Source organism: Homo sapiens, chromosome 17, assembly GCF_000001405.40.
Source record: "Homo sapiens chromosome 17, GRCh38.p14 Primary Assembly".
NCBI classification, from domain to species: Eukaryota; Metazoa; Chordata; class Mammalia; order Primates; family Hominidae; genus Homo; species Homo sapiens.
In genome coordinates this window covers 69,512,183-69,526,967 of record NC_000017.11, presented here as the reverse complement: position 1 = coordinate 69,526,967, position 14,785 = coordinate 69,512,183, and the positions used below count along the sequence as shown (strand labels likewise).

At 40.6% G+C, this 14,785-nt stretch overlaps 1 protein-coding gene across 7 annotated transcripts in view; it reads right to left on the bottom strand.

The window, feature by feature from the left end:
• Positions 1-14,785, bottom strand: part of MAP2K6 (mitogen-activated protein kinase kinase 6) — a 139,169-nt gene that overhangs the window by 26,898 nt on the left and 97,486 nt on the right. For all 7 annotated transcript variants that reach the window (NM_002758.4, XM_047436411.1, XM_011525027.4 and 4 more), the window contains 8 exons: positions 10,065-10,113; positions 9,355-9,468; positions 7,536-7,655; positions 6,582-6,698; positions 5,868-5,919; positions 3,327-3,454; positions 1,990-2,067; positions 259-398 (listed from right to left, as the gene is read on the bottom strand). In NM_002758.4, the coding sequence (NP_002749.2) occupies positions 259-398; positions 1,990-2,067; positions 3,327-3,454; positions 5,868-5,919; positions 6,582-6,698; positions 7,536-7,655; positions 9,355-9,468; positions 10,065-10,113 (798 nt within the window). The remainder of the gene's footprint in view (positions 1-258; positions 399-1,989; positions 2,068-3,326; positions 3,455-5,867; positions 5,920-6,581; positions 6,699-7,535; positions 7,656-9,354; positions 9,469-10,064; positions 10,114-14,785) is intronic.

The following is a 14,785-nucleotide window of genomic DNA, read 5'->3' as shown; positions in this document are numbered from 1 at the left end:
CCTATGCCCCTATCTCTATCACTGGACTTGCCACATTATACTATAATTATTCATTTATGAGACTTCTCTACTTGACTTTGGGCTCAGTGAGGGCAGGGAGTGTGATACGGTCATCTTTGCTTCTCCAGCAGAGAGGGCATACTCCACAAATGCTTTCGGAATGAATGTATGCATGATGGATTCAACCCCGATGGAAGAAATTCATGAGAACTCATCTTCTTCTTTCACACTGACACTTGGGAGGTGAGGCTGTCTTACCACTGTGAGGTAAAGTCAACAAACTCTGCAGAGAACTTGTCTGCTGGGAGTTGTGGCGATGGCTCCTCTACCACCTGTTTGAGCTGCTGAAATGGAGTTCCCCATGAATCATAGGGAAATCGAAGGATGGCCAACTCAATCTGGAGAAAAGAAGAAAAAAGGAGACAACAGTTTCAACAGGGCTGCTTTAGGGAATCACCCACGTTTCATTTGTGGATAGACAGCAGGAAACACAAGGCAAAGTTCAAGTATAAGTCCAGGGGTAGGGGGGCAGGAAATAAACTAATAATTTGTTCTCTAGCAATTTTCCCCAAATTCCTAGTGCTAGGGATTTTTAAATATTACTTACTAGACACAGCCACTTAAGCCTATCTAAAATGGGGACCCTCACTAAAACCCACTGTGGCACTTCATAAAAATTGTAAGCCAACCGTATTAAACTTCAGGATGTAAAGCTACGAGGATTTCAAACGTTTGGTCTGACAAGTAATTCCCAGCCTAAGATCTTTCCAGAGCCGAGCATCTACTGCCACCTTCAGGTCCCTTGGTGAAATGACAGGGAGAAAAAGCAACCTAGAACCAAATGACAGATCTTTTTTTGGACTTGAGAAAAGGCCACTTTGCATTACAGGATCATGTGCTTTCTGGGCAGGCAGGAGAAATAACTCATGGGATTTATTCAGCTGCTGTGCCTGGGGAGGAGCCAGGACCACAGTGGATAATTCCAGACCTTGGTGATCCACTGAAAATGTATGACCACCAAAGTTATGAAATTTACAATCACCAAAGTTATGAATAAGTTATGAATAAATCATATAACTTTAGGGCTGTGTCTAAGGAAATCATCCTATTGGTTATCATGTATTGAGGATATACCTGACTGATACGGTTGGGCTGTGTCCCCACCCAAATCTCATCTTGAATTGTAGCTCCCATAATTCCTACATGTTGTGGGAGGGACCCAGTGGGAAACAATTGAATCATGGGGGTGGTTCCCCCATACTGTTCTATGGTTCTCATGGTAGTGAAAAAGTCTCACGAGATCTGATGGTTTTATGAAGCATCTCCCTTTTCACTTGGCTGTCTCATCTCATTCTCTCTTGTCTGCCGCCATATAAGATGTGCCTTTCACCTTCCGCCATGATCGTGAGGCCTCCCCAGCTGCATGGAACTGTGAGTCCATTAAACCTCTTTTTCTTTTAAATTACTCAGTCTTGGGGATGCTTTTATCAGCAGTGTGAAAACGAACTAATACACTGACCTGATCAGACTTTGACTTCTACTTCTCCAATAAAAATATCCTGGGAAGCATAGTCTATGTCCTGGATAACACGGCCCTATCAGGGTTCACGCACATTAGCATTCTTTGCACAGCTTAAGCTTCTTGCCTTGGCTCGAATAATTTAATTTTAAACTATAAGGAATCTGGTCAGATCCTCTCGTTTTACAGAGGAGGATAGGAAGATAGTCCATGTGACTGTAACAATTACTCAAAAAGGCATACAGCTCGTCAGAGGTGGAATCAAGAGAAAGATTGGTTTCCCCAATCCCATATCAGTGTTTTTATTGTACCACAATACAAACAATTATTACTCAAAATCTCCTACCAGCTCAGCAGGAGAGGGCGCCCCAAACCAGCATTTAGGGCATTTGTTTCTTGAACCCAACGTCCACCTCATTCTAGTTTCATTACCCACAACCTCATAGTTCATGATGATTGGCATACACTACCATCGTGATGCCCAGACTCCAAATGTCAGACTTCACACTGTATCCCTTCTGGTTGAGCTCTGGGTTTATTCTTTCAGGCTGGAAAGAAGACAGACAACTGAGAAACTGGGAAGACAATTGAGATAACGTTCTTAGCTCAATAGTCTCTGGGGATGGGGGTAGCACCAGCTGCCAAGTGAGTTGTTATAAGCTGTTAACATGCCACCAAGGCCAAGAAGACCCGGTTAACTACAACAAATATCAATGCCTCCGTGGGGTTTCCCTTCTTCTGTGTTTGTCTTTTCTTGGACACAGTAATGGATCAAGTTCCTTTCATAACAAATTTAAAATTTGCCTTAAGAAGAAACAGGGTATACATTATAAAGCTACTTTGCCCATCTAGAATTATCCTTGTTTAAAACATGAACAGTCCAGAACTCAATAAAACAAGTGTCACTGGGCTACTGTCCCATGCTAATAGACCTGAGCAATTTTTAGCTAAACACAGACAGGAAGCTTTTCAATTCAAAGCACAAGTCCATTTCCAGGTAGAATCTAGTGGCCGTTCCTCCAGTTAAAGGGGATTGCAAGGTCTCTGCTAATGACGGTGAATCTTCACAGCTGTGAGGTCCTCTCATAACTAATCTAACTGCCTTGTTTGGGTAATTTAAGCTCTATTTACTATTTTGTCCTCAACAAACAAGGTAATACTCCCCTGCAATACAGTGTGGAAAACTGTGCAGGCTATATGTATTGTGTATATATTTTTTCAAATAACGTATCTCTTTCACTTGATTTTTTTAAAGTAATATATATATAACTATGTCTGTGCCCCACCAAAATCCACAGGTTAAAACCTAATCGCACATGTGGTGGCATCAGAAGGCAGGGCCTTTGGGGGGTGATTGAATCATGAAAGTGGAATACTAATGAATAGGATTGGGGCCCTTATTAAAAAAGCCCTAGAGAGATCCCTCGCCCCTTTCACCGTGCGAGGACTAAGCAGGAAGGTGCTATGTATGATCCTGAGAAACGTGAGCCCTCATTGGACACCAAATCTTCTGGTGCCTTCATCTTGGATTTCCTAGCCTCCAAAACTGTGAGAGATAAATTTCTGTTGTTTATATGCTGCCTGGCTTACATTACTTTGCCATAGCAGCCTGAACAAACTAAGACAATATACGAAGCAAGTGAGTAAAGATTTCAGACATAAAATTTTGAAGAAATACTAAGAGGCAGACTACTTCTGGAGTCTTAGGTACATTTCCATTTTCCCTCTGTGGCCATCCATTTCTTGTTTCCCAGCATGATTTGTCGGCAGTGACATTACCAGATGCCACCCTAGCTAATGTACTTACGGCCATGTATGGTTTGCAACCTGCATCAATTGTTTTAGCAACAGAGTCCACCAAGTAGCCACTGATTCCAAAATCGCACATCTTCACTTGACCGAGAGCATTGATGAGTACATTAGAAGGCTTGACGTCTGAAAGCGAAAACAACCAGGATGCCATCATTTCAGCCTGCTTTCAAGGTTCATTTCTCTGCCACCAGAGGGCCTAAAATCTCCATTTGTCCTTCATCTTCCTTTCCCCAAGCTGCCCAACACAGAAGTAACTGCCATCCCTGACCCACAGTTAACAACAGCTTATTGCTTTCAACTTGATTTTCTATTTCATGTTTTGTTCATGCCTTGTAGAATTGTGAATTTCTCCATACAAAGAACTGTTTTCTCCACTGATTTTATGATCTTCATTACCCTCATACTTGTAGTAAGAGCCTAAAAAATTATTACTGAATCAAATGTCCAATTCAAAATGATCTATTGATATTTAACGTAGGAGTAATAAAACAAAGAACAAAAAGGCAGACTGTGACACAATGATACACCAAATATGACCAAAGCAACCTTTGTTTTTGTTTGGTTTGGTTTTTTCTTCAAGATAAGGTCTTACTCTGTCACTCAACCGGTGTGCAGTGGTGTGATCATAGCTCACTGCAGCCTCAAACTCCTGGGCTCAAATCATCCTCCCGCCTCAGTCTCCTGAGTAGCTTGGACTACAGGTGGGAACCACCATGCCCAGCTAACTTTTTTTTTTTTTTTTTTTTGACAGACAGGATGTCTCTTTGTTGACCAGGCTGGTCTCAAACTCCTGGCCTCAAGCAGTCCTCCCACCCCACCTCCCAAAGGGCTGTGATTACAGGTGTGAGCCACCAAGCCTGGCCCAAAGCAACAGATTTTGATTGAAACCTCTGCTAGCGATGTGTCAGAGGTCACATAGTGTAAAGGATCATAAACCCAGGTATTCCAGACCACAGGGCAGGTTACTGAAGAAGCAGTATTACAGACCAGATTTTAAACGAATCCTTTTGACTAGAAAAATTTAACCCACCCGCCCATATGCCCAAAAAATGGAACTACGATTATCTCTGGATAATAACATTTGAAATTACAGCTAATTTTTCCCTTTGTGATACTTTTCATAACACCCATAAAATTGGAAGTAAAAGATTATTACAAAAGCTTTAAAAATTATCCTTTATAATTTTCCCTTTAAGCTAGAAGATACACAAATTTCATTTTATTATTTTTATACCTTACATATTTTCTCTAATATGAATTACATATTTCATAATGGTGAAATAACCCTTAATGTTAATTTCAAAGTTGTGAATAATCTACAGTCTTTTTCCTATCTGTATTCCTTCCTATTTTCTTCTCATCTTCCTTCATCCTATTTTTCCAATTTTTAATAATAACAACTAACAATAATAGGCACACTGTGGAAGGCATTTTACATTATTTCCAGGCTCAGAGAGTTTAAGAATTATCCAAACCACAAGGCCCTCTTACTTACCAATACATTCCATTATTCTTCCCAAAGACAGGGTTCTGGTTATCTCTTCCCAGAAGTTTCCCTGACTACAATCACCACAATCACTACAATCACCTGCCTCAGCCTCCCAAGTAGCTGGGATTACAGACACCCACCACCACACCTAACTAATTTTTGTATTTTCAGTAGACACGGGGTTTCACCATGTTGGGCAGGCTGGTCTCAAATTCCTGACCTTAGGTGATCCGCCCTCCTCGGCCTCCCAAAGTGCTGGGATTGTAGGCATGAACCACGGCACCCAGCTTGGTACTTTCATATTTCTAAGGTGGTTTTTTTTTTTTTTTTTTTTTTTTTTTGTACATTTATCTTACTTCCCTATAAGAATCCTGATGCATAATTTAATCAGAATATATTTTCTTCTCAGATACCTCTCAGGGGATCTATTACATTTTAAAAGTGATTTTAAAAGATGAATAAATGGATGAATGGGGGGATAGAAAATGAATGAATGGATGGATGGATGAATGGCTGGTTGAAGAGATAACAGGCCAATAAGAAGGAAGAAAAGGAAAGAGGAAGAGATAAATCATTATATCCTGCCTCCTGTTGTCTGAAAGGGCTCTACTTTATACCAGAGTTTTTCACACTTTCATGTGCACAAGAATCACCCGGAAATCTTGTTAAAATGCAAATTCCAATTCATTTGATCTTGAGACCCATGATTCTTTTCCAACAAGCTCTCATGTGATGGCCAATACAAGATCAATTTTTATCATATTCTCTAAAATTCTCAATGATATGATCTCATAGCTCTGCTTGCTAACAAGTGTTTATATTCAATTTGGATGTAAGACAAAGATCACGTCTTCTTCTTATGTCCTCAGCCATGATAAGGAATACTACTTATATGGTTTGCTATCCAATCTCAAAGGAAAGCCCCTTAGTTCTCTTGCCTGAGTCAATTCTACTTCCACCCATGGGGGACTGGGGGTAGAGACGGACTCCAGGTGAAAGAGATGAACTTTATCAAAGGAACAGCCAAGGCAGCTCATGGATGCTTACCTCTGTGAATGACAGACAGCTTACTATGTAAATGTTCTAATGCTTTTACAATCTGCAAGAGAAACACAAGATAGATTTATTTATCACATTGCTGGAAAGAAATTGAATGTTAAGTATATCAAGGTTTATTATCCTTGGCTTTAGGTTACCAGTGAGATATTTTCTCAAATAGTGGTGGTCCTATCTAGGAAAATACATAGGAAGTTACACAAATTGGACTCCATCCACCAGAGAGGACTGTATCTTATATCAGAGAGGATGTCTCCCTCATCTGTCTTGTTCATTTGTCCTCCTTCTTTTTCTCTCCACCCTCCTGAGCCTGAATAGCCATGAAGGTAGAAGACCTTCTTTCTATTTATTTTCCTTCTGCTTTCTTCTATGCCTACTAGTCTCAAGAGAACATTTTAAAAATCCATAAATGAAAATCAAAATAAACTAATGTCAGAATATAGACACCAGGAATGTGGTCATAGCTGATGAATGCAGCACTTAGAGTCATTTAACCTAGAGTCTGCCAAACCAAAGCAGTGCTAGAATCTTCTACACAGTGCTCAGAAAGGAAAGCATGTATTTATCCATCCACCAATAAATGTCAACAGACATGTACGAATAGTAGCTGTGGCCCAGGTAGTATTTCTTCATACTGAGGTCCAAAGACACATAGGGACTTTATTTCTCACATTATCCTTGCAGTAGGGATCAAAATGTACTCACAGAAACTGCTATTTTCCCTAAGATGTCCTCTGGAATTGTCTGGCCTTTATCAATAACTTGTTTGTAGAATTTATCTAGTGATGTATCCATGAGCTCCATGCAGATCCACACATCACCCTGGAGACCAATTGTTTCAGGAATTGTTTAAAAGGATGAAAAAGGGAGAAATAAAAATAAAAAAAAAAAACAGTAAACCCTATCCTGAAGAATTAACTATTTCTTTCTTGAATTTTGGGGGGAAATACAGTGTCTTCTGTCAAGATCATAAAGGAATTTACAAATAAGCAAGGTTATCTACAAAGAGCAAACCAGTAGGTAGCCAAGCAGAACCTGCATGTGCTCTCCTACCCCTTAATGAAAAATGGAATCTAATTACTAACAGACATAAGCAATACAACCCCAGATATCCAGGCCTTTACTGATACCACTGTCTAGGAGTTAGGTCTAGATGCCTCCTCCATGTCGTATCTCTCACACTAAATACCAGCAACAGTCAGTCAAAAAGCTGGTTTTAATGAGGTGAAGCCTCATAATCCATATAACGCTAAAGTGGAAAACAGAGGTAGAGAAAAGAGATCAAAGTAAGTCTATATAGTACACAAGTAGGCTAGATGAAGCTCCTAAAGCAGTCAAAAGACCAGAATATTTCAAATTATAAGAGATCTAAGCAAATCAGTCTATAGGCGATATAGAAAGTTCTGCCAAGATAAACAAAACAAAAAAGAAAGGAGACGAGAAACTCCACATCTTAAAAAGGCTAACCACATTTGAAAATACCATAATTTCAATCCAACCTTGCTCCAGGGCATGTCATCATTGCACACACGTAAACCCCCGTATACAAGATGTGTCAAACAAGAAAGAGCTCCATGATTGTGAAGGCATTTACGTGATCAAAGAAACTTCTTTTTAAGTTATTGTTCCTCTTGGACTTTGAATTGAAGGGTCACCTACCTCCCGAAACAGTGCGCCATAAAAGGTGACAGTGAATGGACAGTCCACCGTCCTCATGGAAATATCCAAATCCATCAGTAGCCGTTTCTGTTCCTGGCTATTTACTGTGGCTCGGATCCGCTGAATGGAAATGCATGGAAAATTTATGGTTACTACTCTGAGGATGAGGCAGGCAGGGACCTGAAGGAGTCCCATCGTGAAAATAGTTCATGACACAAGTTCTGGCGATGACATTGTGAATAGCCACCCAAAGTGATTAGCTATTTGTAACACATGAAAATAAGGAAGGCTGTTACTCATTTGATTTCCTGAATAGTCCTGGTAAGAAACAAATTGATAGTGTGTTTTGGAGAGTGACAAAATGTTTTGGAATGTATTTCCAAGGTATGAAAACAATCTGGTTTACTGTATTATGTCTGTTCAGTGCAAAGAGGGCACAATATTAAGGACTTTGCTGCTTATCTGGGGTCCCAAGAAAATAAAAAGCCAAAAGCTCTTCTTTGGGAACATGTAAGAGTATTTGGAGGGAACAGCAACTGTAAGAGAATTGGTACAGCTATACAAAATAGAAGCAATTAGAGAAATAGAGAAACTGTTCATTCCTATCCCAGTGCTTCTGAGGGAAGAACAATCTGTCACACTAGGAAATGTAGCCTTACAGAAACATGATTATGTCATTAAATGATAGGAGAGATACAATATCACTGGGACTTCACACTTTTTGCCTACTTAGCAAGTCAGCAGAAGAACAGACTGAAAAATCTACAAGATAAAAGTATTCCCATTCTTTAAAAGCAAAAGGATCCAAGTCACCTGATTATTCCTAACAATAGCCCCAATCTATTAACTCAGCTAGAGATGTTAATTCTTTATGATCCTCCAAACACCTACTCAATAATATGAAATGATTTTAAATTTCCTTTCATAGCTCAAAAACTATGCAAATTTACTCTAGATATATTTTACCCTCCTTTTTCCACAAATGGAGACAATTTTCTCTCCCAATTCTGGTTTCTTGATTTTCAGAGGCAATTCTTTAAAAGCAACAAAATATAGAATAAAAGAGATCTATGAGTCATAACAGCCAAATGCAATACGTAAACTTTCATTGGGATGCTGATTTGAAAATCCAACAGGACAAAACAAACACACACACTTTGAGATGATCAAGGAAATTTTCATTTGGACTCCGGATTAGATGAAGGAAGTATCATTATTATTATTATTATTATTAATATTATTTGAGATGGAGTCTCACTCTGTTGTCCAGGCCGGAGTGCAGTGGCACGATCTCGGCTCACCACAACCTCCACCTCCCGGGTTCAAGTGATTCTCCTGCCTCAACCTCCCAAGTAGCTGCGACTACAGGTGTGTGCCACCATGCCTGGCTAATTTTTTGTATTTTTAGTAGAGACGAGGTTTCACTATGTTGGCCAGGCTGGTCTCGAACTCCTGACCTCGTGATCCACCCGCCTTGGCCTCCCAAACTGCTAGGATTACAGGCGTGAGCCACCACACCTGGGCCATTAATTATTTTTAAGTGTGATGATGACATGGTAGTTTTGTAAAAATTAAAAATGGTAGAAGAATGGGTGGAGGGAGAGTTAAGAGTTAAAAAAACAAATAAAAAGTAGATACAACTCACACCAAGGAAGACTTTTCCATACCTTTGGAGGAAAATACTGTTCCCTGCAAATAATCTTTTCTGTTTTACCCTACGGAAGATGGTTTTGCTTCTATTAAAAGGGCTGGTTGACAATTGAGGTGGACAAATGTATACACAGCAGATATAAAACATTTGGGAGAATGTCAACTCTACCTTCACTGCCATGATCTGCCCGCTGGGCACGTGCCGCATCTTCTCCACCACCCCGTACGCACCTCGTCCCAGTTCCATTATAGGCTCCAGGTCATCTGCCTTCACCTCAAAGTTCTGCAAGAGAGAAAAGGAATAATGCAATGGGAAAGAGAAAAATAAACAGAACAGAGAGCACATTATCCTCTATCTCGTTTCTCTCAATGTTCTAAGGATTATTTCTGGGCCAGAAGATTTTCTAGCATGTCAAAGCAGCCTCTGAAAGCAAGAAGCTACAAGAAGGGCCAAGAGATGTCTAGGAGCTCCCACGGTAGCCCACCTGCTTGTCCCAGGCAACACAGAAACCCAACTTGGACTCAGCTTGCCAATGTCTCAGTTGAAGCTATTTCACTGAAGTTCTTTAGCCATGACCCTTCATTGTGTCTGTAACCCACTATTGACTGATGGCAACTAGATTATGTCTGAGCTTTGAGAAATGCCCTCCCAAGAGAACCATCTACTCTATTCAAATACCTTCCATCAAAACCACAATAGCCTGATTTCAATTCAACATTCTTTCAAAATAGCAAAAACTTTGCATACCACTTCCCTTTAAATGCAAACTTTTTTTGACTCATCCCCTGACAGCATGCTAGGGAAAATAAATTTTTCAGTCAGAAAGCATACATATAAAATGGCCAACGTATTAGGTGGCAGACATGATTTTTTCTTACCTGATTTCCAATAGAAATGCAAGCCTTGGAGTCTAAATCTCGAGGTGGTCTAAGAAAGATAAGGGGGAAAAGAAGAAACATAAGCTATTGAGTCAATTATGTCCTTCCCAAATCACACACCACTGAGGATATTTTTTCCTTAAGAAGAAAGTGGAAGTTCATGAGTAAACTAAAGCAGCCTATGAGTGTGAATAAGAGGGGATTTGAAATAAATCACATTTGGGTTTAAATCACTTAATCTCTTTGGGGCTCCCTTTCTTCTTTAACATGGGGATATTAATATACCTATATTGTGAAGCAGGAGTGAGTATTAAAAGAGACAATACAAGTAAAATGCTTAGCTGAATGTCTGGCATACAGTAAATATCTAATTCGTATGAGCTATACATGTGCTATTATATAGATTAGGGTGCCCAACCCCCAAGCCATGGACTAATACCAGTCAGCAGGAGATGAGTGGTGGGTGAAGGAGAGAAGCTTCACCTGTACTTACAGTAGCTCCCCATCGCTCACATTACCACTTGAGCTCCATCTCCTGTCAGATCAGCAGTGGCATTAGATTCTCATAGGAGCACAAACCCTACTGTGAACTGTGTATACAAGGGATATATGTTGTGCACTCCTTATGAGAATCTAATGCCTGATGATCTGTTGCTGTCTCCCATCACCCCCAGATGGGACCATCTAGTTGCAGGATAACAAGCTCAAGGCTCCCATTGATTCTACATTATGGTGAGTTGTATAATTATTTCATGATGTATTACAATGTAATAATAATAAAGTGCACAATAAATGTAATGTGCTTGAATCATCCCGAAATCATCCCCCCACCCAGTTCATGGAAAAACTGTCTTTCAAAAAACCAGTCCCTGGTGCCAAAAAGGTTGGGGACCGCTGATATAGGTCATTGTGCTACAGCAGTAAGTCTCAAGCTTTTTCTTTCACCCAAGAGCACCAATATATGTAATTATTTCACCACATGTCTCACAATTGTTTTAAGAAACAAATAGTAATGGCATATATTCTGTTAACTCACAAAATTCATAGAACATAAGAATTTCAAATCTCGTCCCTTCTTTTATAGATGGACAGAAGGTCCAGAGAAGTAAAGTGACTGCTCCCAGCCCACAGCTGCCCCAGGTCTCCTGATATCCAGTTCTGCATCCTCTCTACTCAACCAGGCTGTCTTATCAAGCCCAGCAATATTTCTTCTGTGCACAGCACATATACAATTCTGGGGTCTTCTTAAGAGCCAGAGGTTTGCTGATTTTGTTTCTATAGTCACTTCCTGAGTATTTATTTCTACCACTTCAATGATCTCTCAGGTGGTATCAATCTACTTAAGAGAAAAATGTTTGGCTCTGGCTGTGCACACAACTAGGAGCTGAGAAAGGCATTTTCCTGAAAGAAATGTACCAACAGTAGTACAATAAACATAGCAAATGCTGGCCGGGCACGGTGGCTCACAGCTGTAATCCCAGCACTTTGGGAGGCTGAGGCAGGCGGATCACCTGAGGTCAGGAGTTCGAGACCAGCCTGGCCAACGTGGTGAAACCCCATCTCTACTAAAAACACAAAAATTAGCCGGGCATTGTGGCGCATGCCTGTAATCCCAGCTACTTGGTAGGCTGAGGCAGGAGAATCGCTTGAACCCGGAAGGCGGAGGTTGCAGTGAGCCGAGATTGTGCCATTACACTCCAGCCTGGGTGACAGAGTGAGACTCTGTATTAAAAAAAAAAAAAAGCAAATTTCGAGAAACAAATTGTTAATGTGATCAAACAAAAAGAACAACTAGAGGCTAAAGACGAAAGAATCCTGGTGCTGCCAGAAAAGAGGGAAAGAGGGTGAGCAGACAGGTAAAGACTCATGTCTCTCTGGAAGCACATTCCATGCCAGAAAAAGGCAAAGGAAAATGGAAAGATGAAAGTGAGAGAGAAAAGAAACCTTTGCCAATGAGGATTTTTTCTAACTCTCAGGTATTATGATTCTAACCCTTTTGCTGAAATTGAATACATAAATAAAATTAAAAAGTAGGAATATGGGCGGAGGCGCAGTGGCTCACGCCTGTAATCCCAGCACTTTGGGAGGCTGAGGTGGGCGGATCACCTGAGGTCAGGAGTTTGAAACCAGCCTGGCCAACATGGTGAAACCTCATCTCTACTAAAAATACAAAAATTAGCCGGGCGTGGTGGCGGACACCTGTAATCCCAGCTATTCGGGAGGCTGAGGCAGGAGAATCGCTTGAACCCAGGAGGCAGAGGTTGAAGTGAGCCAAGATCGTGCCACTGCGCTCCAGCCTGGGTGACAAGAGCGAGACTCAGTCTCAAAAAACAAAACAAAAAAAAAGAGAAATACAAATACAGATATAAACATGACTCTAAGATTTTAATGGCAAGCCTTCTCTCACCTCAAAATCCTTTTGGAATACATAGAATACTTAAAGTTTCTTATACTAACTTAAAACTGGGGACTGAGAGGGAGAGAGAGAAAAAAACAATGCAAAACAAAACACACACACATGCCCCACAAACAGCAGTGATGTGTTTATATATCTTGTGTTTCTGAGCAGGGAATTTTTCTTCAGAAAAGGTTTCTGGAAGAATCAAATTTCTAAAATTCTAATTCCTCTTTCTCAAGATTTCCAAAGCTATTTTTCCTCAGTTGTCAAAATTTGCTTGTACTAATTTGTAATGGCACTTTGAAATAAAGGCAAATATGACTTGAAACATGTGACTAATATAAACAACAAAAATCCTTTGCAATTATTCAACACCCTGATTTTTTTTTTTTTTTTTAAGACAGAGTCTCACCCTGTCGCCCAGGCTGGAGTGCAGTGGCACGATCTCGGCTCACTGCAACCTCTGCCTTACCGGGTTCAAGCAATTCTCCTGCCTCAGCCTCCCAAGTAGCTGGGATTACAGGCACCACACCTGGCTAATCGTTGTAGTTGTAGTAGAGACAGTGTTTTGCCATGTTGGCCAGGCTGGTCTCAAACTCCTGACCTCAAGTGATCCGCTTGCCATGGCCTCCCAAAGTGCTGGAGTTACAGGCGTCACCCACCATCCTGACTTTTTAAAAATATGAAGCAACAGAAAGGTCACTAATTATTTGGGGCTGCAACTGTTTTTTTGCCATCCAATGAGGTTATCGAAAAATGAGTTCTTCCAAGTCTAATATTCTTATATTTTATATATATACCAGGGCTCAGCAAATTACAGCCTGTGGTCCAGCTAAGAATGACTTTTCCAAATTTAAATGCTTGTAAAAAAACAAAAAATAAACAACGGCATCCTCTGTGGCCCATGTAGCCTAAAATATTTAGTATCCGGCCTTTTACAAAAAAGTTTGCTGACCTTGGCCCTATACTAACTTTGCATTACCCCTGAACCTAATAGAAGGGTCTGGTGCCATTTTCCAGATTGAGAAAAATGAAACCCAGAAAAGCTGGGTGATTTTCTGAAGCCATACGGTCATCAACGGAGCTGAAAATAAAACTCAAGTCACCCGAATCTCAGCCTTGATTTAAGGAGGAGAAAGAGGAAGAAGAGAAGGAAATATAAAAAACTGGGCTAAGAGCTTTTTACCTGCTCTTGCGATTCCCATCGAGGCAGACTGAATACAAGGAACTTGCTCCCAATACCCAGGCCTCCTCTAATGAAAATAATCAATTCGCCTGTGCCGCAGGCCCTTGGGCTCATCAAGTGGGCCAAAAATATCAAATGATGGGGCCAAGACTGACAAATCAGATTGGATTAGTTGACACTGTGTTCTCTCCAGGGCTGGGCATATTAGTTTGCCAGGGGCATTGCGATTCTGCAGGAAGTTTATACTGTGGGTGGATGTTCTCTGTCACTTTTTCAATATTTTAGTCCTCTGGGGAAAGAACCAAGCTTATTACAAAAATTCTTCCCCTGGAAGACCAAAGGTCTTCCAAAGGTCACCTAGTATTCATTTTTTTATATGAACAACCAGCTTCGGTTTAGTATGATAATTATTCATTTATAATTTTACATGAGGAATCAGTTCACTGGTTACTATCGCAATCACTATTCATTGATTCAGAAATATTTATTAAGCACCTATTTGGGCAAGAGACTGCGTGAGACCATTTACATAAAATAGCTTCCTTAATTTTTACAACTCTCAGAGGTGTTATTACCTCTATTGAAATAGAATAGGGTATGAATTGAAATCAAGGTATAATACCTCATTAATACCTCTTTCAACAATTAATATTGAAAGTGACTAAATAATTTAAGAACACTCAGGCCGGGCGCAGTGGCTCACGCCTGTAATCCCAACACTTCGGGAGGCTGAGGCAGGTGGATCACGACATCAGGAGTTCGAGACCAGCCTGGCCAACATAGTGAAACCCCGTCTCTACTAAAAATACAAACTTAGCTGGGCATGGTGGCGGGTGCCTGTAGTCCCAGCTACTTGGGAGGCTGAGGCAGGAGAATCGCTTGGACCCAAGAGGCGGAGGTTGTGGTGAGCCAAGATCATACCACTGCACTCCAGCCTGGGCAACACAGTGAGACTCTGTCTCAAAAAAAAAAAAAAAAAACAAAAAAAAAACACTTAGAAAGACAATGAGATTAGAACCCAGAGCTGCACCATTATGGCTTCTCATGCACAGTATGCTGTAAAGGATACTACCTCTCATTTCACTAGCCATAAACTGTTTGCTCACAGCCTCTACCAGTCTGATGTGTGGCTAAGAG